This window comes from Homo sapiens, chromosome 12 (assembly GCF_000001405.40).
Source record: "Homo sapiens chromosome 12, GRCh38.p14 Primary Assembly".
Classification (NCBI taxonomy): domain Eukaryota; kingdom Metazoa; phylum Chordata; class Mammalia; order Primates; family Hominidae; genus Homo; species Homo sapiens.
Genome location: NC_000012.12, coordinates 40,126,189 through 40,149,059, shown reverse-complemented (window position 1 = coordinate 40,149,059; position 22,871 = coordinate 40,126,189). Strand labels below are relative to the sequence as shown.

Genomic DNA, 22,871 nt, shown 5'->3' with positions numbered 1-22,871 from the left:
TTTTATCAAAAGTCACTTTACAAAAGGGATTTTTTAAAAGTTGAGTAATACTGTCATATTCCTAATGAAAAATTAAAAGGTATGTTCCTACCCACCAATAGGAGTAAACCACATTGCTAAATGACATAATTTTGTAAATACATATAACAGTTTAGACTGACATTTAATTTGCTTGAGTCCGTGACCTCAGACCATTCAATATCACTAAGGCATGTTTTCTCAATCAAACCATAAAAAATGAAATATATTTGTTTCACATAAACTATTTGCAAAAGGAATATGTATAGTTATGCTACATTGCTCATAATTCATTTTTATGTGAAGTATTTTGATACCAGGCTACAAAGGGCGGGGAGTTTCACTGTCATTTTGATTTAGGAAATGCCAGATACCTGTGAGCTCAACTGACATGCATAAATTATGAATTATGAAATGCTTTAGAATGATTTTGTCATTTTTTTCTCCTTCTATTCCATGTATATGGTTTTATTCCTGAAAATTATTGGTTACTTAATAAATTGAAAAGTAGAAATTTCTATCAAACAATAAATAATTTTTCCAATATTTATGGTATACTCTTTTTAGTAGACAAAGGTTTTTTTTACTGTATTTAAAATAAAATGCCACAGTACCTATAGGAGCTGACACATCTGCAGGGACACCCCTATCTATTGCCTTGTGAACATAAAAATTGGCATGAACAGTTTTTGGCATGCCTTATACAACTGTGCACAGGACTGAATAAATTGTCTCAAATAGCAATGTCCTAATACAGTCTTAGCAGCAAAATCTCATATCTGGAAGTAGCATCCATAATAATTCAATTATAATATCAATATATTATTGCATAAATCCTTATTGATTAAAGAAAATAAATGTACTTTAAAAAGACTTCAGCACGTAAATGAATATATGTGCATAAACAAAGACAGCTAAAAATCAATAAAATTGCAGAAGTACCCTCTAGTAAGGAAAGCTGCCCGTATGTCATATGGGACCTCCAGATCCGTTAATGCATAACAAATTTTCTCCCATCATCCCATTCCATGCCTATGTCGGTGTAACATTCTTCTCAAGTTTTCTAGGTCTTATATTGTCTTGGTTCTTCTGGCTTTTGTTTGCCCTTTGAACTAGTTAAGCTAATGGATCATCTTTCCACCTGGAAATATCCTTTCTATTTCATGCCGTGTTAACTCACATGTGAAGTTCAGTCATTTATTGTTCTCCCTCAAAATAGAAAATCGAATAAAGCCTATATGTATGTAATATAATTTACCAAATTTAGGGGGAGGAAAGGGATAGGAGGGACTTTACCATGAAGCAACATGATTATCTTAAATTGAATAATAGACATCCTAGTTACTAAAAACCCTTCAGTCATCCCATGCACTGCCAGGGATTTCTCGCTGCTACCTCACCGCAGATTGACCCAGGCCTCCTACTGTCTCTTTGGTTCCTTATTTATCTTCCCACTTCTATCTCACCACTTCCCTGTCCTTCCCTCCATGAGTTGACTTCTAAGAACTCCAAATTCAGCAGAGAAATTCACTTTGTCTTCCCCCAAGTACCCTAAAAGACAGAGCCTAACCAAAAGGTCTGCAGTGCTGTTTTATCAGGAAGTGAAAGCCCAGGGAAGCAAGAATGAGGTAAAGAGCAAAGTGAAGCAGGGAAGGAAGAAAAGAAAATAGGAGATGGTGCATTACGGAACTGGCCATAGTTTCACAAGAAAAGATAGCTCAGTATCACAGGACAGGTGGAAGTTTTTGCATCTCCAAGCAGCTGGGGGAGAAAGGCAGAAAAATATATCTGCAGGACCCTTTCGATCTCGGGTCTCTCATCGGTCAGTTTCCTTCCAACAGGACATTAACTCCTCTTTACTTGTGGTTTTAAACACTTGTATTTCTCATCAAATAAATATGTAATAACTTTACTTGATTCCTGGATACACTCAAATGATACATTCTCCTTCAGAATTTTTTTTTAGAGACGGGGTCTCACTCTGTCGCCCAGGCTGGAGTGCAGTCATGGCTCACTGCAATCTTAAGGGAGCCTCCAGAGTAGCTGGAGCTACAGGCATGCGCCACCACGCATGGCTCTCCAGGATTTTAATCAGCAAACTCACTGGCAGCTATCTGTTATTTCAAAAAACCTCTTGCCAGTGTCCTACATGTCCTACATTTTTCTGCTATGTTGTCCTCTTGTTTGAACCTGCTGGGGGGAAAAAATATATATATATATAAATATATATTTATATGTATATATTTATATATATTTATATATATATATTTATATATATATTTATATATATATTTATATATATATTTATATATATATTTATATATATATTTATATATATATTTATATATATTTATATATATTTATATATATATTTATATATATATTTATATATATACTTATATATATTTATATATATTTATATATATACTTATATATATTTATATATATTTATATATATATTTATATATATACTTATATATATTTATATATTTATATACATACTTATATATATTTATATATATTTATATATATATTTATATATATTTATATATATTTATATGTATTTATATATACATTTATATATATTCATATATATTTATATATATATATTTATATATATATTTATATATATTTATATATATATTTATATATATTTATATATATATTTATATATATATTTATATATATTTATATATATATTTATATATATATATATATTTTATATATTTATATATATATATTTATATATATATTTTATATATATTTATATATATTTATATATATTTTATATATATTTATATATATATATATATGCTAGCACTGAGCTAGCTGGAGAAAGTGGTACAACTGGGAATTCTGTCCATAAATTCACTAACCTTAGCTAGGCTTTGAACACTGCCCAACCGTGCTGCTTTATTTCCTTCCCTACTTGCTCTCCTGTTCTGTATACAATTTTTAATCTTCACTCTCCTTAAACCTAAAGCCCCAAGCTTTCCCCTCACCCCCAGGAGATGACTTTACCACCTACTTCACAAGGAACATGAGAGCCATTAAGTAGACATTCCATCATATTCCTATCACCCAATTTTCTTTTTTCTTTTTTTCTTTTTTTTTCTTTTTCTTTTTCTTTTTTTTTTTTTTTTTTTTTTTGTTTGTTTGTTTGAGACGGAATCTCACTTTGTCTCCCAGGCTGGAGTACAGTGGCGCCATCTCTGCTCACTGCAAGCTCTGCCTCCCGGGTTCACACCATTCTCCTGCCTCAGCCTCCGGAGTAGCTGGGACTACAGGCGCCCGCCACCACGCCCAGCTAATTTTTTGTATTTTTAGTAGAGACGGGGTTTCACCTTGTTAGCCAGGATGGCCTCGATCTGCTCACCTTGTGATCTGCCTGCCTTGTCCTCCCAAAGTGCTGGGATTACAGGCGTGAGCCACCATGCCCGGTCCCCAATTTTCAAATCTACTTGCATCCTTAGTAGCAACGACAGAGCCTGGCATGGAAGGGATAATAGTAAATATTTACTGAATAAATGCATATCCATCCTTACCTCCTGCATCATGTGTAATGAAGAAATCCTTTCCTTTGTCTCCATATTCTTTTTCATTTGCCTTTCAGGAATCTCACACTACTCATTTTTTTACTCTCTCCTAGAGTCTTTATCCTCCCCCCTCTTTATGGGTTACTTCTCATGTGCATTTAAGTATGTTATAACGTCTCTAAATTAAAAAAAAATTCCTGCAGACTTACTCCCACCCTTCCACAGCTGTATGATATTCCATTGTATCCTACAATTTGTCCATTCTTTTGTTGGTTGTTTGAGTTATTTTTAGTTTTTTGTTAATACAGTGTTTCTACAAACATATGTAGTATTTTCTCCAGAAGAGGAATTGCTGGATAATTGGATATGCACAAACTCAACTATGGCACATGACGCCAAATTGTGATTCAAAACGGTTGGACCATTTACACTCATGCTGGCCATGTGGAAGGTTTTCCATTGTTCCACGTCATCATAGTCTCAGAATGTTTTTTAATTAATTAATTTAAAAATTTTTTTCTCTTTTTCTTTTTGTTTTGTTTTGTTTTGTTTCACATTTCTTAAGTTTTGCAAATCAAATGGGTGTTTAATGGTATCACAGTTTGGCTTTACTTTGCATTTCCCTGGTTACTAATGAAACTGTCCGTCTTTTAATATAGACCATTCCTCTTTCTTCTTTTAGGAACTTAAAGCTTTTGCTCATTTTTCTTTTGTATCATTTATCTTTTTAGTGTTGGTTTGAATTTCTTTCTATAGTCTGGATATTAACAATTTTAAATCATATTTGCTGCAAATATGGTATTTGTGATTTGATTCCTACTTTATGCTGTTTTGTTGTTAAATAGATGAACTTATTCTTAATATAGTTGAATTAAATAGTCTTTTTCTTTGTAATTTGAGTATTTTGCTTCTTTGAGAAGTCTTTGCTCTGAAATCATAAAGATTTTCTTATAGATTGTCTTATAAAGTGTTATAGAATTCTCTCATCTACCTATAATTAATTATGTGATAACCAGCTTCCAAGATGGCACCAATAATCCCTGCCCCGGATATTCATACCCTTGTCTGTGGTATCCCCACTTACTGAATAAGGCTGACCTGTATAATAAATAAGATATGCAAAAATGATGGTGTTAGATCTCTGAGCCTAGATAACAAAAGGCATTGTAATTTCCACCTGTCCTCTCTTTTTTATTTCTAGCTATGAGGGAAGCCAACTTCTGTGTCATGAGGACATTCAAGCAGCACTATGGAGCCATCCATGTGGCTAGGAGCTGAAACTGAGCCAAGAAGCAGTGAGGAACTGGCTGGTAACAGCCATGTGGGTAAAAGCCATCTGAGAAGTGCATGCTCTAGTCTCAGTCAAGCCTTCAGAAGACTGTGGCACCTGACATCTCCACTGCAACCTCATTAGAAACTCAAGACAGAACTGCCAGAGAAGCTCTTCCTGAATTTCTGACCTACAGAAACGGTGTCAAAAAGATATTTATTATTGTTTTGAGCCCTAAGTTTTTGGAGTGACTTGTTGCTCCAAATATATTAGATAATATATTATATATGTAAGGTAACATTTCAGTTTTGACATTTTCACATGCATGATCAGTTATTTCAGCACTATTTAAAAATTTCTTTCTATCTTCTGTTATCAGCAAGATCAGCTGTGTCATAAATTAAGTTTCCAATTATATGTAGATTTGATTCTGGACTCTTTATTCTGTTTCACAGGTCACGTTGCTTATTCTTGAGTGAATACTTCATTATTTAATTATTATATATATATATTTGATAAGGCATACAGTTTGCTATAGTCTTACCTATTTTTAAACCTTTGGTCTTTTATATCCTTAGAATCACCTTGACATTCTTTACAAGAAAATCCATCGGGTTTTGAGTGGAATTACACTGAGTATAAGTACCAGTTGGGGAAAAATTGACATCTTTAGTATGTCGAATCTTTTAATCCATTTGTAATCCATGCTGTGTTACTGTTTTTATTTGGAGTTGTCTTTCAAAATGTTTTACAGTTTTCTTTGCAAAGGTCACATACATCTTTTGTTAGTTCCATTACTAGGTATTTCATTTTTATACACAAGAATGAAATATTAATAGATCCTTAAAGAAAATAACATTTAAAATAGCATAAGATATATCAAATTGCTCAAGTCAGAAACTGGCACATAATAAATACATCATAAATGTCCTAAACCAGATGTATGAATGAATAAATAAATGGATGAGTGGATGAATATGAGACCCAGTATGCCTATCTATAACCTATTATTTCAGATACCATTCTGCTTAGGTATTCAGTATTCTCAAGGGATTTTTCTCCACAATAAGAAAACTTGATGCTTCCAGTTCTTACCTCAGTATGCCACTGATAAAGTAAAACAGATCTAAAAGAATAGTTTCAAAGAGATGTAAAATGACACCTTATGTCAACTTGTCTTTTCCTTTTTCATGACTCCTTTTTCTTCTTTCTAACTTTTGGCATCTGTAATTGAGATTTCCTTCCAAGCATATTTAGCTCAACTTAAATATACTTCATTGAGGCTTTGGCAAACCTTTTCAAGTATAAGGATAATACAGAATTATCTATTTTTCTATAGTTTGTTTTATTGCTGCTGTTATTGTTGTTTTATTTTGTTTGCTATAAAGATTAGCCTCTTGTTCAATGGAAAATATGATCAAAAACAGTGTTCAAAAATTATTTAAGGGCCCCATCACTACAGCAATCATTAGTCCTACTGTGTATGAAATTTCTAAGTATTTCTAAATGCTCAACCCTAGACATGCCCTTCACTGATATTTTTAATGTGCTTTCAGTACCTTGGCCATTTAATAACTTATGTTCTTTTTTCAAAATCTTAGGAAGAAATTGTGTTTTGGAATTGGGCCAACAGTATGTGTTTCTCCGGTGGATAAGCAAAATTTCATAAGAACAAAGATGATTCAAGCAGATGTTTATCATGAAACTGCCATAAAAAGCACCCGAAGTCACAAAGATAAACATCAAATCCAGTCCTTGGAAATTTCCCCCACCCTACCTGAGCATCTTTTGAAGTAGATATTCAATTATTTTGAAGGATTTTTAAAGAATTTTCTAGATTTCATCTAAAAGACACTTTTGAAATCTGCGTTAAAATTCATGGAAATATATCCTAGATGAATTTGGAGGAATGTAAGCAAGTAGGTACAAACCTTTATTTTATCCCTCAGTGACTCACTCAGTTGTGAATAGGAAGGGCTCTCTGTGATCTGGCCACAGCTTATTTCTTGCCACATTCCTATTTTCAGTCCTCTTCCAATCATGTGGAACTTCCAGCATCTCCTTACACATGCCATGTTATTTCACACTTTTGTGACTTTGCTCATATTTTTCTCTCTCCCTGGAAAGCTCCCCGACAACCTCCACTGCCATTACCCACTAGGCAAGTACATCCTGTTTTCAGAATCAGCCCAATATCATCTTTCCTAGGGAATCTTGTCAGACTGCCCTTCATTACCAACAGACAAAATAACTACCTTATCTTTGGTTCTGTCTTCACTCTAGACCTATGTAGCATGCTACTTATAACACTGCATTGGTTTGTTGGCATTTGTATTTTCCACTGAGCAACCATAACTTATGTGTAGACAAAAATTGTATTGCTCACCTTTGGATTACTAGGACCTAGCAGTGTTCTGATTCAGAGTATGTACTCAATAAATTCATCTTGAAAAGTGAATGAATGAATAAATGAACGCCTGCATCTCCATCATTGATTTACTATTTAATCAGTGAAGTTTTTAAATTATATTCCCCCATATCTTGAGATTTGATCTTGTGTTAAATCAGTTGCACATATTAGACATTACTTTGTCCTTTTCACTTCTCCTTAGCACATATGGGCTATATAATCTTTATAAAGGTTAAAGAAATATATTGTAATATGTTATAACACAATCAAGATACATCTGAAACAACATAGTGCAGGCACTATTTCCGATGTTCAACATCATGCTGGAGTAAAACTTAGAGACTCTTGGAAAAAAGAAATACTTAAATAATGTCACCAGTGTAATGTGCTACATTGTAATGGTGTTATGCTTATTACATGTGTTATCTAGTAATGCACAAAAAGCCTAATGGATTTGCTCATATTTTCCTCATGTGCAAATGAAAACACTGAGTCTCAGAGAGATTAAATAAATTGCCAAATGTCATGTCAAGCGATTTTGATCCTGGTATTTCTAATATAAAAGCCCATGTTTTAATTTATTAACTGTTTGACATATAACAATAATAGATCATTACATGTTAATATAAATAACCTATGTATGAAGACTAATTATATTTTTACTTCTGCATTCAATCAACTGCAACATGTCATTTTGGTTGATGTGTACAGAAAATACTCAACATCTCGCAGATATTGGGTTGGAAAACAGAGGACATTTTTATATCTGTTTCAGATAAATGTATATATTTTTCTTTGATAGTACACCAAAATTTGACAAGTGACTATTTCTTAAAGGGTAGTTGCAGCATGAAATCCAAAATAACATCAATAAACTTTTCATTCTCTGTTACACTAAAATTCATTGGTTTTATCTTACACAAAGTGTGGATGATTTTGTAACATCATGTGTTGGTCATTTAGAAAACATTATTCCACTGGGTTATGCAGATTTTCTAAATGCTGACACATTTCATTTTATAATTTCAAAAATGAACATTTATTAATGTCACCAATATCATCAAAATGTTTGAACTACTGGGACGCATCAAGTTCATTCTGGTAGACACACATTTTTCAACATGTAACTCTTCCTTGAAAACTCAAATTTTATCATTGACAACAAATGCGGTCAGTTGTTTTCCTTGAATTATCAAACTCACTTTGCTCATTTTTGAGAAAATATTTGCCAATTATCCAAGTCTGAATAGACATGGTTTCTTTGTCAATGTTCGTTCTTTTAATGGTGTTTTCTGAAGAAAAGTGTAGTTCATTTGCAACTCACTGGCACAAATGCTTTTCTTCCAGACAACCATCATAGTTGAGTAAGCAGCAGAAGTGCCTAATGCATACTTTCCATTTTATCACGCAGAATATTAGCAGAACATTTTCTCAAGGGTTGAGATTTAATAACACAAATAATTGTAACTACTTCATCAATGATATACTTAAGTGAAACAGGCATGCAATAAAATGTTTTTGAATAAATGAATAAACTGCCTTGTATTAGGCCCACCAAGGTGAATTTGAAGGTATATATTTGCCTCATGGAAACAGAACTAACACAGTGTTTCATAAATGAAAGTTCACAGATAGATCACATTAATTTAACTCAGAATACTTTATTGAAATGTAGAACTGAGGCCCCATTCCCAAATAATCGGATTTGGTCCATCTAGGGTGAAAAGAGAGACAATGCATATTAAAATACGCTCCAGATAATTTTGAAGAACTGTCAGTTTTGGGGACTGCCTGCTAATGGGACTGTAGTTACAGAGTTTCTTTGGGCAATGATGAAAATTCTCTCAAACTTTATCAAAGGCCAAAAAATGACTGGCTAATATTACTAATTAGAATTCTACTATAATCCCATAGTACAAGTTTATAGTTTTTAAATCTCAAGTGTGTCAAATGTATATTCTTGCCAAGCGTGCTACCCTCCACGATAACAAGGAGAGACTGCTTCCAAGGACAGGGATCAAGTGAGTCTCTGAGTTAAATCCTGTCCTTCCTTTCATATTCTCCTTGATTAACTTACAAAATAATTACATTCTTTTAAAGTGTGTCCTCATTAATTACAGTTTTTTTGACATAATTTAAAAGAATTATTTTCTTAAGGTATGCCAACAGAGGGTAATAGAGGTGGGCTGGGACATTTATTCTTCTCTGATCTTTCTCTGATGCACCCAAAGGCTATTTAATGCACAACTGCCCTCTCATTGCAACATCAAAGCATGTAATTCACTATTTAGGTTTTACTTTCACAGTAGAGAAATTGTCCAGACTAAGCATATTAAATCGTGTTGCAAATGACTTTTTTTTGTGAGGTAAAATATAAATAACACAAATTTACCATTTAAAAAATTTTTAAGTATAGAGTCCAATGGCATTAAGTACATTTATATCATTGTGTAACTATCATAACAAATGACTTTTATATAAGTAAGTCAATGGAAAATTCAAGTATATCATATCTACAAAGTATCTTCAATTATTAAAGTAAAACCATAGTTTTAATAAAAAACATTATCAAAAGACTTCATATAAACTAATAATCCTATTGCTAAATTCCTGACATTGTTATTTATAGGACTGTCTTTTAAAATATATTTACATTTGAATTTTTTAATAACCCAAAGATTTTCATCCAGATTTCATATTAAAAATAAATTCATTGATCCATCATGATACAGATTGCATATAAGTATATTAAATGACAGACTTTTTATCCTAGTTTCATTTTAAAAACAAACTTTCCTATCAATCACGGGCAGATGTTGATAAGGTAATAGCAGCTGTGGCAGAGAATACATTTTTATTAAGGAAAAATGACAATGTATGTCTTTAATGGGTAAGATTATTAATAGCTCTTTGCAAGTATCAGACAGAAGTTTTTATGAGTATTTTAAGCAAAAGCTTTAATAACCGATAACTCATTCACTGTGTTTCTTATTGGGGTACCAGCTGCTACTGTTCCTTCTCTCTTCACAAGAATTCAAATTCCAAGGCTATGTGTACCTGACAATACCAGACAGGTCAAAACATAGCCACCAACTTGACTAAGAGAATTAACCATTTAAGGCAAAATATCACGAGGTTTTCCCCTCTTTCCACATCCTTCCTTCTTTATGCCCTCTTCTTAAGCATTGCTGTTTCCCATGTATCCAACTTCCTACTAAACCCATATAATTGGACAATACATCTCAATACAGTTACAAAACCCAACTCATTATTTCCTCCCCAACCTTCCCCACAATGGGTGGGTGTTTTTGATCTCAGTGAAGGTCACCACCCCTGACCAGTCTCTCTCCCCATGCAGTGCCTCAGCTCCAGAACTAGTTTACCACAATGGACTCTAATGAGTTTTCCTGTCACTCAATTCTCTTCTCTACACTACTAGAGTTATCTTTCTAGTATTTGAATCTGATTATGTTTCTCCTTTACTTAAAAATCCATCAGTAAGAAAACAAGGAGCAGAAACTTTAAACATTCCTAAATACCCTCATACTACTTGCTTCCCACTTTCCACTACACCCTCCATTCCCATTGTTCCCAATAATCATCCTTCTCTCCATTCAAACAGAATTGACTGAATTCTCCCATGGATAAAGCAGTTTTCTTTTTCTTATAACACGCTTCACATTGTCTCTTCTTCCATTAAAAGTAAGCTGAAACATCACTTCCCCCATAAAGTGTTCTTTGATCTTACCCCACCTCACCTCTCCAGCCATAGCCCTAGGCCAATTTAGGCATCCCCTGTTTGTTCACCTAAAGCTGTCTCTACACACCTCTTCCCATCAGAGTACCTCACAATCCTAGATTTACTTTTATTTCCTCTACTAGATTGTTGACTTTTGAGAGAAAGGGATGTCTTACTTTCCTCTGAGGTACTAGAACCAAACACAGTATTGGCTGCAGTAGCAAGCAATAAAAGTTTGTTGAATGGATGAATAGCTGAATGAATTTAATCAACTAAAATGTTTAGATTTAAATATATAGCCAACCATACTATAACATGAGAATCCAGAATTATTGTCCCACTATTCAAAATGCTCCTCTATAAATCCAGTCTACTAAATGTTTATGTTTCATTTTGGTTAATTCTTAGACAAGAGGGTTTAGTGCACTACAGAAACCATCTCATTAGATTTTCATATAGTTTTATTTTTCCTCATTTATGTAATGTATTACATATATATGTATACTCTAGTGAAAATTTTTTTGATCTTGACTTACACATTCAGTTGGTAGACATTTGTGTGGGCATGAATATAAACATGTCTAGTCACGAGAATATCCTGATTCAAATAGGGAAGCAAAAGATGACACGCTCTCAGACAGGAAGTGACTGTCAGCATCCTTTAAAAAGAAACAACAGGCTGTGGTTCGTTTATTTCCTTGCTTATTTGTGACTTGCCCTCAGTGCCTGATGATGCTTGGTACAAAGAACTGAGTAAAACTATCTTTTATATTTTCTATTTATATAGCAATTTACATTTAAAAGCACTTTCAAGTTAATTCTCTCCTTTGAAACATTTGTTGATATGTCAATTTTAGTTAATATTCCTGAATATTTGATGATTTTTAAAAGAAACCAAGTTATAGATTCATTTTACTGTATCTAAAAATTAAAATTCTATTTTGGCTCAATTTTGTAAAAATATCTCAATTATGTTTCAACTTTGTTTTGAATTTTTAAAATGGTCTGTCAGTCCAGTAATCCCACTGCTGGGTATATACCCAAAAGAAAGAAAATCAGTATACTGAAGAGATATCTGCACACCTATGTTTGTTGCAGTACTGTTTACAATAGCTAAGTGTCCATCAACAGATCAATGGGTAAAGAAAATATGGTACATATACACAATGGAGCACTACTCAGCCAAAAAAAAGAATGAGGTCCAGTCATTTGCAACATGAATGGAACTGGAGATCATTATGTGAAGCAAAATAAGCCAGGCACAGAAAGACAAACATTGCATGTTCTCACTTATTTGTGGGATCCAAAAATCAAAGCAAATGAACTCATGGGCATAAGGGTGGTTACCAGAATATGGGAAGGGTAGTGGGGGTGGGGCAGTGGGGGGGAAAGGTAGGGAAAGTTAATGAGTACAAAAAATATATAAATAATGAATAAGACCTACTATTTGGTAGCACAATAAGGTGACTATAGTCAATAGTAACGTAATTTTACACTTTTAAAAAACTTAAAGACTGTAATTGGATTGTTTTTAACTAAAAGGATAAATGCTTGAGGGGATGGATACTCCATTCTTCATGATGTGCTTATTTCACATTGCACGCCTGTATCAAAACATCTCATGTATCCCATAAATACATAAACCTTCTCTGTACCCACAAAAAATAAAAATAATAAAAAAGGTCTGTCATGTGCTTTATAATACTTTTAAGTGAACTTTAAGTTATTTGTTTTCTTCATCTTTTTTCTTTTTTCTCTTTCTTCCTTTCTTTTTTTTCCCCCCAGAGACAGAGTCTTATTATATTGCCCAGGCTGGTCTCAGTCATTTGTTTTGTTTTCTATAAAGTAGACAGGAATCACTCAATGAAATAATTAGTTTTGTGGGGTGGGGCGGCAGGTGTTTGTTTGTTTGTTTGTTTGAGACAGGGTATCACTCTGTCACCCAGGCTGGAGTACAGTGGCACGATCTCGGCTCACTGCAACCTCCATCTACCAGGCTCAAGTGATCCTCCCAACTCAGCCTACCAAGTAGCTGGGACTACAGGCCCACACTACTAGGCCCGAATAATTTTTTGTATTTTTTTTGTAGAGGTGGGACTTTGCTATGTTGCCAGGCCCAGGTCTCAAACTCCTAAACTCAAGGGATCCACCTGCCTTGGCCTCCCAAAGTGCTGGTATTATAGGCATGAGCCAACACACCTGGCCTAGAAAATATGTAGTTCTAATCCAAAGTATTCTAATCACCTCTATGGATTGATGTTCAGCTCCAAATTACTTCTATGAATATAATCTGAAGAATTCAGTGTTCTTTGTTTATCATATTTTTCCCAGTTACTAAGGTGAAATATCATGTCACCACTTCATTTTGAAGTTGCTCCTCATTCTTGTGCTATTGCAGTGCTCTTATAAATATTATTTTTTATTTCGTTGAAGGAAAGTAATAATTGTTATTTCTAGATGAAAAGATTGTGTTTCACTTTTTCTCCTGTCTTCCTCTTCAACCTAAACCTTTGAAACCTGCTGAACTTATTCCTATATGCTATCTACAATCAATGTCTTAATATTTAATTCCCAGAGGGACTTACACAAAGAATACATACATAATAGAATTTATGTTTTAAATTGTCTGTACAGTTCATGTAGCTTCAGTCATAATTATTAGGAATCAATCCGGTCACAAATGGAGAGGTGTGATTGCAGTTAAATGGTAGTTAACAACTAGTGATTTACTCCTCCTATGGGCCAGGCACTGTTACAAGCCATGGGATGTGGTAAAGAACTGACCATGCTTCCACTGAAATGTTACAGTCACCTAGAATGACCAAGAGTGTTTTATATGAAGCCTCTTGGAGTCTATCATTCTGTTTGGAGTGACAGCTGAAGTTTTATATTTATTTTTCCTACCTTAGTGTTCTTTTTGCCCAGTACCTTAATGTATTATTTAAAATGTTTTTGTGTGCACATTTTTATAACACCTCAAATTGTTATTGGAATGACGTATGATATCAGATAGATAAATCTCAATGCAGAAGTCCATTTTTAGCATACATCCAATAAATGTCACTCTTTTCTCCAACAAGTGAACAGGAAATGGGCTTTCCTTTGCCTCAGCACATTCAAGAATGCAAAGCCCTCCTGTTGGAAATCAGAAAGTCAATATTAAGGAAGCAAAGACAGAAACCATTCTGAGTAATTAGCAACACACATTTTGCAGGGCAAACTTTTGAGAGAATGGTGCTTATATATTTTCAATTTAATATTTATATATTTTCAATTTAATAATTGAAGTGAACCTTAAGGAAACAATCAGCCAAACTCAGAATGTGGAAAATTCAACAGGACAAATAACCCAATTTCATCAATAAATAAATGGCAAAAGAAAGAAAGACGATTTTGTTAATATCATAGCTCATTCTGTAATGAGTTGAGATATACAAATGTGCATACAAACCATGAATTTTAAAATAATATATTTAAAAAGTAAAGGTGAAAAGAACACTAAGGTATGAAAAATAAATACGAGAGAGAAAGAAAGAACTGCTATAGATTGGGAGAACTATAACAGACAAATGTACCAAATACAATGTACAACCTTGTTACATTCCTGATCCCAACAAACTAGCTATAAAAAGACAATCAGGGAAAAAAACTAAATACATATTAGGCATTAGATAATAAGAAAATATTGTTAATTTTGGGGACATGATAATGGAATTGTAGTTATATTTTTAAAGTCCTTATATATTAAAGATATATTGATATATTTATAGATAAAATGGTAATGTCAGATATTTGCTTTTAAATATTTCAAATACATTTATTTTATTTGCGTAGTTTAAAAGCAAGTAAAAGATAAATAAATACAGCAAATCTTGAATCACAGTGTTTCCAATAGGGTTTATTTTTATTTGTTTATTATTAATATTTTTTTTGAGATGGAGTCTCACTCTGTCACCCATGCTAGAGTGCAGTGGTGTGATCTCGGCTCACTGCAACCTCCATCTCCCGGGTTCAAGTGATTCTCCTGCCTCAGTCTCCTCAGCAGCTGGGATTACAGGCACCTGCCACCACTCTCAGGTAATTTTTGTACTTTTAGTAGAGACAGGGTTTCACCATGTTGGCCAGTCTGGTCTTGAACTCCTGACCTCAAGTGATCCGTGTCCCTCAGCCTCCCAAAGTGCTGGGATTACATGGGTGAGCCACCACTCCTGGCCTCTAATCGGGTTTAAATGAATGCAAATAATATTCTCATTTTACAAAAGCACCAACTGAGGGAAATTTTTATTTGAGAGTGATTTATTTGGGACTGTGGTTCTAGGAATCAGAAGGAGAATGGGAAGAAGAGAAAAGTAACAGAGGAATGCATATTGATTTGGCTACCACTTTTGTATGACAGGGAGATCAATCTTGAAAGAACATCTGAAAGCCTAGTGAAATGCTTCTCAGAATCATCCACTGGGGAAAGAAAAGGGAAAGCATTTGTCAATCAAGTCTCTTCCCCATTAGTCAAGAGCTATGTCACGGGGCATTACCATCTCTACACAAGCACAAATGCTAAGAGTTCCTGTGAATATCTAATGAGCAGGCATACCCCTACCAGAAAGTAAGAGGTACCCAACGTCTGCCTAAGGCAATGTGCTGCCAGGTTGCACCTCAGTGAATCTGGTTGAATCCTACGTGGGAATTAGTCTCCACAACTAAGGCCAGAATAAGAGGATTAGAAGTGGCACACAGGAATTGTTTCAATACAATCCATTCTTTGTGCCTACCAGTCATGTCTCTTTTTGCTTTGCGTTAAATCCAGTCAGTTACAGAATCCCCTTCAATATGGTGGCCAGCTGGAATCTCTGTAAAGACTGAATGCAGGAAAGTTAGTGAAACAAGCTGCAGTCCCCAGTGCAACACCAGATTCCAAAGCCTTAATTGACATAATTTATCTCCTTCCTGCACTAACAATTTTAGAATTCTCTGACCCTAGGCCTGCTCCTTGGTTGGTCTATGTTGTTTGCTTTCTGGAATGACCCAGACTTTCTTCCCCAAGGGGTTTATACCCCTGATTTCTTTGTGTTTGGCAAACTGTGGTTGCTACAATTTTCCATTCACAATTATCACTGGGCCTGTGGCACCAAGACACAACCAGTGAACAGCTCCTAGACATCCTATAGGTCCTAGATATACATCTCCCTGTCATTATTTTGTACCGATAACCCTAGGTCCTAAAGATAAAAATCAAGAATAATTACCATTACCAGTACAACTGTTCTTTGCCTACTGTTTGATTTCAGGATTGTAAGTGTTCAAATGTGACAATGTACAGATAACCAATAAGATGCTCAGAATGTAGGCCGGGCGCCGTGGCTCACGTCTGTAATCCCAGCACTTTGGGAGGCCGAGGAGGGCGGATCACGAGGTCAGGCGATCGAGACCATCCTGGCTAACACAGTGAAACTGCGTCTCTACTAAAAACACAAAAAATTAGCCAGGCGTGGTGGCGGGCACCTGTAGTCCCAGCTACTTGGGAGGCTGAGGCAGGAGAATGGCATGAACCTGGGAGGCGGAGCTTGCAGTGAGCCGAGATTGTGCCACTGCACTCCAGCCTGGGTGACAGAGCGAGACTCTGTCTCAAAAAAAAAAAAAAAAAAAAAAGATACTCAGAATGTAGTACTGAATTAAGTAGAACAATTATAATGTTGGTAATAGAACAGGTCACACAAGGTCTTATTAGCAGCAGCAGGTGACACTTTATACTTTTATAAACTTGACCTCAAACTATCAATCACCTATAATTACATAGAAAACAAACAAACAAAAAAAAAACCAGGTGGGTGAACAGGTCTCAAAGCACAAGTGTTAGATGAGATCTTCTTCTCGTAAATCATTTTCAAAAACTCTAATATCTGTGTTAGTTTTTTTCTATTTAAAATAATTTATACTTTTTTCTCACTCAATAAGAATTTGAAGGAAATGTGTTAAACTAATAATTGTTAGCAAATGTGAACAGGACAAAGCTTTTTCAACAGAAGATTGGGCTCTTATCTACTTCACCAGTTATACTTAATCCAGATGCATTTGTTTACTCAATAATGCCTCCATTTATTTGTGCATATCTGTGATAGGCTCTTATATGAATTGGTCTTAATCCCTAAAATAATCTTGTGAGGTAAATAACTGTGGAGGTGTGGGAAGTAGTTTCCCCAGGGTTAAACAGTTACTAAACACCTAAGTCAGAATTTCAACTCAAACCTGTTGCCTTCAGAACCATCATCTGGAATAGTAAAAAGGTATTGTTCAATTTACAATTATAAATATTTGTAGGAAGTCTCTTTAGGTTTGGATTCTTTGGATTGTCATGTTGTGATTCCAAACCAAGAACAAAGGTGTAATTAAGAATAGACAAGAAATTTACAGGCTGGTGCTTTCAAATTGCCAGCTTATATACAATTCCATCATTGCCTATTCTATCATAGGCAGAAATAGAATACATACCTAATTTTTGTAGGTTGTAAATCAAGGTACCTTCATCTACCCTAGCCAAAGAGTTGTTATTTGAGTTAAATCAAAATGATCACATGCTCTCCTGGGATTTTGATATGTGAGTAAAGTGACACAAGGATGGAAAAACAGGTAGAGCATAATTATTCCAGGGCCAGCATTCTTACAATACAATCAAGCAGTTCAGGCAGCCACGATCTCCTTCCAATGAACTTTTTTTTCGTACATTAGACCATCAGTTTCTGTTGCTAGCAATCAAAGAATCTCAAACAATACATAATTACAACCCACAAAGATCACTTCTTTCTCCAAACCTCTATTATATTGACAATCCACACCGTACAGTCCAGCGTCAATGTTCTCTAATTCTACCCAGGAATGTTGCCATCCGAGTCTGAGTGGAAACTACTCGGGCATTTCTATTATTATTCTTTGGGGTTCTCTGACATGACCCAGCATAGGGCTAAGTGTTAAACTGATGGATAGACTTTAGAAACATATTAAGATAGAAAAGATGGCAAGGGGTATAATATGGGTAAGGAGGGGAAAGGAAATGAACATAAAGATCAGGGAGTACCAAAGCAGAAATCCAAAGTCTTCTCCTTATTCCCTGCTTCAGTATACTCATACTGTTGCAAAGACATTGCTTTCCACTGGACAGCTCTTCAGACTAATAGTAAGTACACAAAAACCATTCATGTTGGTCACGTCAGTTTATGTAAACATAATACATCATGATCACATTTTTTTTGCACAAATATAAAAAAGTTACATAGAATAGTATTCTCTTCTGTCACCGCCACTAATGGTTATAAAAAATATTAAGAAACTTGCCATGAAGAAAATAATAATCTCTTATTAGATGCCATGAATGTAATAGTTTTGAAGAGTTTTAAACATTTTAGTTGAGTGGCCTATTTTCCTCAGCTTGCAGAGTATAAACAATTTATTTCACAAAATGTTCAATGCAAAAGGGTGATTATTTATATCAAATTGTTGAAGGAGAGTCTGTACGCTGAAGTCATTCTGAGACAGGAATTAGGAGAATTTGTTCGTGATTTATAAGGCATGGTTTTTCTCAACTTGAATACTGAGAAAGCAGAAAGAAAGGGTAGCCCTTTGAAAAAAAATGCTTAGATTTTTAGAAAATAGTAACTCTTCTGGTTAAATTATGTAATGTCTACCATTTTCTTTTTGCTTTTATCCACATTAAGGCATGTCTTCTAACAAACACAAGGGTTGACTCCATTCAGAATGGTCTCATTTACCTTGGAAAAATTAAACATCACCTCACAATGCTAACCATGCTTTCTTTAACTCTCATAATTTTACTTGAAACTTTTCCTAAAGACCTGTTATTATGGTAAAATACATAGGGATAACTAAGTTAAACATACCTTTGAAAGTTTTGCATAAAGAACATTTTCTGAAACTAGCAATTGTCTATGAAGTCATTCCATTTTGAAGGACATTCATGAACTTAACCTCCTACAAAACTAAATAAAAATTACTTGAGGAGTTAATTCAGGAAATGTATAAAGAAATTAAAAAAGAAAAACAGAGGATACAAGAAACAAGGCCTGTTATGTCTGATCCAAAAGAAGTGGGGAAGAAAGTCTAAAACAAAATTAAGAGTATCATAAATTCAAGATGCTTGGACAATTCTCTTTAGAGTAGCAAAATTCAGAGACACAAGGTTGCATTTACATTTTTATTCATCCAACCACATTACTTGATTCAATGGAAAATATTTATATATAGTATGTATATATAAAGTATGTACGTTTACACATATACAATAGCATATGTGCTTATTGTATATGTGTAAAACACATATACAAAACACTATTGTATATGTGTAAACATACTTGGCTTTGTGAACCCAAAGGTATCTGAGACAAGTTTCAATCAATTTAGAAAGTTCATTTTGCCAAGGTTAAGGACACGCTCATGACACAGCCCCAGGAGGTCCTGATGACATGTGCCCAAGATGGTCAGGGTACAGCTGGGTTTTATACATTTTATGGAGACATGAGACATCAATCAACGTGCATAAGATGTACATTGGTTCAGACCAGAAAGACCAGAAAACTCAAAGCGGAGGTGGGGCTTCCATGTCATAGGTGGATAAGAGACAAAAGGTTGTATTCTTTTGGGTCTTCGATAAGCCTTTCACTGAATACCAAATTTACGTGTGAGAGTGAGTGTAGAATAGTCACTTATGCCTTAGTTTGGTTCAGTGAATCTGTAATTTTATGTAAACAATAGGGCAGAGGAAGCATCAGGTCTGCATTTGTCTCAGGTGAGCAGAGGAATGACTTTAAGTTCTGTCCTTTGTCCCGCACCTGTAAAGATAAGCTATCAATTTACATTGCCAGGGTGAAATTGAACAGAACTGTTTTAGGGTAAAAATCTTGAGGCCCACAGGAATTTCCTTTTTGGAACATTATAAGGTAGATATGTAGCTTTTTTTTTTTTTATCTTTGTAGCTGTCTTATTTAGAAAAAAAATGGGAGGCAGGTTTGCCCGATGCAGTTCCCGGCTTGACTTTTTCCTTTGACTTAGCAATTTAGGGGTACTGAGACTTATTTTCCTTTCAAAGTTTTTAGAATGAATCTACAATGTATACAAATATAATTTTAGTGACTGTAAGCCTTAACTATAAATATAATAACTCAATACACCTAACAAAAAGTAGAAGGCAGATGGGAAAGGAGAATTGAGAGGTAGGAAGGGCTTGCTAAATGTCTCTTGGTTTCTGAGTAGACAATCAACAGATGCTGTTTAATGCTGTTGGTAAATCTAAAAATGACAATCACTGACTGTGAAACTAACGAAATGTGTTTCAGGAATCTTGACTTGCAGGGGCCCTTTGCAAAGCATTGGGAGGAGCCCTAACAATGTGTAGTTGTAATTCTGTGTTCTTTTTCTTAAAAGGGTGTGCTCCCAGATGAGTAAATTCGGTACCCACAAAATTTGGATGCACTACTGAGCTTCTACCTTCTTTTGGAAGGGAACTATGCATTTGGAGGGCCAGGAAGCTAAAGTATCCTTAGCTGTAGGGTAAATCTATCTCTCTTTTCTGGCAACCACCAATATAACTAAAGACAGAAATCATTGACATTGGTTGCTTCAGGGGACCATCTTGGTAGAGTTGGGGTGGGGTGCAGAAAGAGGCAGGTGTGTACTTTTCATTTTATAGACACTGCTGTGATTTTATGTGTTTAATTTTACCCTATTATCTTAAATATATATGTATTTTTTAATAGTGACAAGTAATTTACAATTCACTAGTCAACATGCTCTTTTCTCTTCCATGCATACAAAAGCCATAGGTTGAAGGCAAAAGATAGGACTGCAATGTATGTATATATATGTTTTATCAATTTTTCCACGGCTGTTGTGACATTCCTTATGTTCTTATACACACATTTATTCTGGCTTTGGCGCTACCTTTCAGGTTAATAGAAATCCCACATGGGAAAGCAGCAGTGAGTAAGATAACAGGAAATAAAAACATCCGGCCTCATATTCTAGTCCTTAGGATGAGCAACCACAGAAAAGATCAGCGATGACATTTCTTTATCAAATAAATACTGTTATTCATAGGACTCTTAAAGATACAGGAGTATTTTCTTTTTACAAAGAGTTTTCTCTTAAATGGAGTTTCTTCTTCCCCAAGATGCTTTAAAAAAAAAAAGACATTCACTATTTTTATTATAGAATCTCTGTAGCATTTTAACAACAAGATTTTGCTTTTGTAAATAGCTAGTAATATTGTTTTGGGCAGATGTATTTAAAAGCCTGTTGGAGAGTAAGAAAACAATTGACTTATGGACATATTTCAAAGTCTAATAAATTATCTTGCCAAAATGAGGTGTTGCTTTTTCCTGGTAATTGGACTGTTCTTTACCTGCCATTGAAGGAATGCAATTGTAAGCAGACACTAACTCCATGGCAACATGCATAGATCAGCACTTTCCTTTCCAATACCTGAAAAATGTCATTTCTATGAAATTCTGCTTAGGCTTTTTTTCCTGTTAGCAACAGATTAGATGACTAGAGGCAAAATAAATGTTTAAACATGTTTAAACTAGAAAGCAATGTTGGGTCATTCAAGGACTTAACCAAGAAAGAACAGCCTTGGCAAATGAAGGGAAAGAAGAGAGGAAGACACATAGATATCTGAAATCTGAAATCAGATTTGCCAGGGGCTCCCAGCTAATAACTTGGGAAGTCTTGCTACTTTCCTTTTACTTATCTCTTAGGAAGCTTATCGAAGGATGGCAGAATATAAAAAGAGGATCTAATCTAATCAATCCATGTAAGTACTCATCTTTTGTTTTATTCACCACTTTGCTTACTTCCAGCTGAAGTCAATATTATTAGCAACATTTTTATTACTTTATGAACTTGAATATATATTTGGTATAAAAGACCTGCAAATAACAAAGTTGTTTACCCAGGAGTTTATAGATAATTAACCCTTAGTTTGTAGGGTTTTTAAAAAACTAATATTTTATTTTCAACTTTGGCTAAGAAAGACTGCATGAACATTTATAACATCAAACTGACCACTACAAGGTATTGTGAAAAGTTAGGCCATTTTAAATGAAAAGATACTAAGAAATGGAAGCATTATATATTAGGCTTTTAAACATTGCATAAGGGATCATAAATTAAAAGAGTTTGTTGGTAAAATAAAGGTGGAAGGTCAAAGAATCTCCAAAGTCCCCTCAAAGGTATGTTTCTTTGAGTAACAGGAAAAGACTACATGAGGAAATTCAGAAGCAGAAATAAATAGTGGAATTTTAAAAAATTATAAAGTAATCTTGAAAAATACATAACTATAATGGCATGGTGGGCTACAGTTGGCATGAGAGGTAAGTGGTGAAAACAATGGTCTGTTTGTAGGAATGAGAAAAAAACTTGCCTTAGGGAACTTGTGGAACAAAGGAACAAATGTAAGAATATGTATGCAAAATTACCTATGGGTGGAATGTTCATTAGATAAATTATTTTAGAAGCAGGCCTTGAAAGCTCCCAGAGAAGCTGGTGATAGCAGAATTAACAGTAAAAATCGAAATTACATGAGTTGTTTTTGAAATTAAAAAATGAATAATAATTATTATTACACTGTAGCAATTAAAAGTGCTAGCAAGAGCAGAGATGCAATATATTGAAGACTAAATTAATGATTTAGTATCATATTCTAGAGTTCAAAAGATTAAGAGAAGAGAGGAAAACATCAAACAGGTTCAACAAAAAACTTATTAAAAGTTCATAAGACTCTAGAGATCTCACCCCTGCTATTTTTCCAAAAGCATCTCACTCTCCATCACCTTCCTTCCCCTAGCAGGGTGCCTCGTGTTCTGGTCACAGCTAATTTTCACATTTTTGTTGTCG

General features: G+C 34.4%; 1 long non-coding RNA gene across 1 annotated transcript in view; it reads left to right on the top strand.

The window, feature by feature from the left end:
* The window catches only part of LRRK2-DT (LRRK2 divergent transcript), an 82,057-nt gene extending 74,763 nt beyond the window's left edge, over positions 1 to 7,294 (top strand). Inside the window, exons 8-9 of the long non-coding RNA NR_186757.1 lie at positions 4,756 to 5,025; positions 6,426 to 7,294. This is a non-coding gene — a long non-coding RNA (LRRK2 divergent transcript). The remainder of the gene's footprint in view (positions 1 to 4,755; positions 5,026 to 6,425) is intronic.
* Positions 7,295 to 22,871: the final 15,577 nt, after the last annotated feature.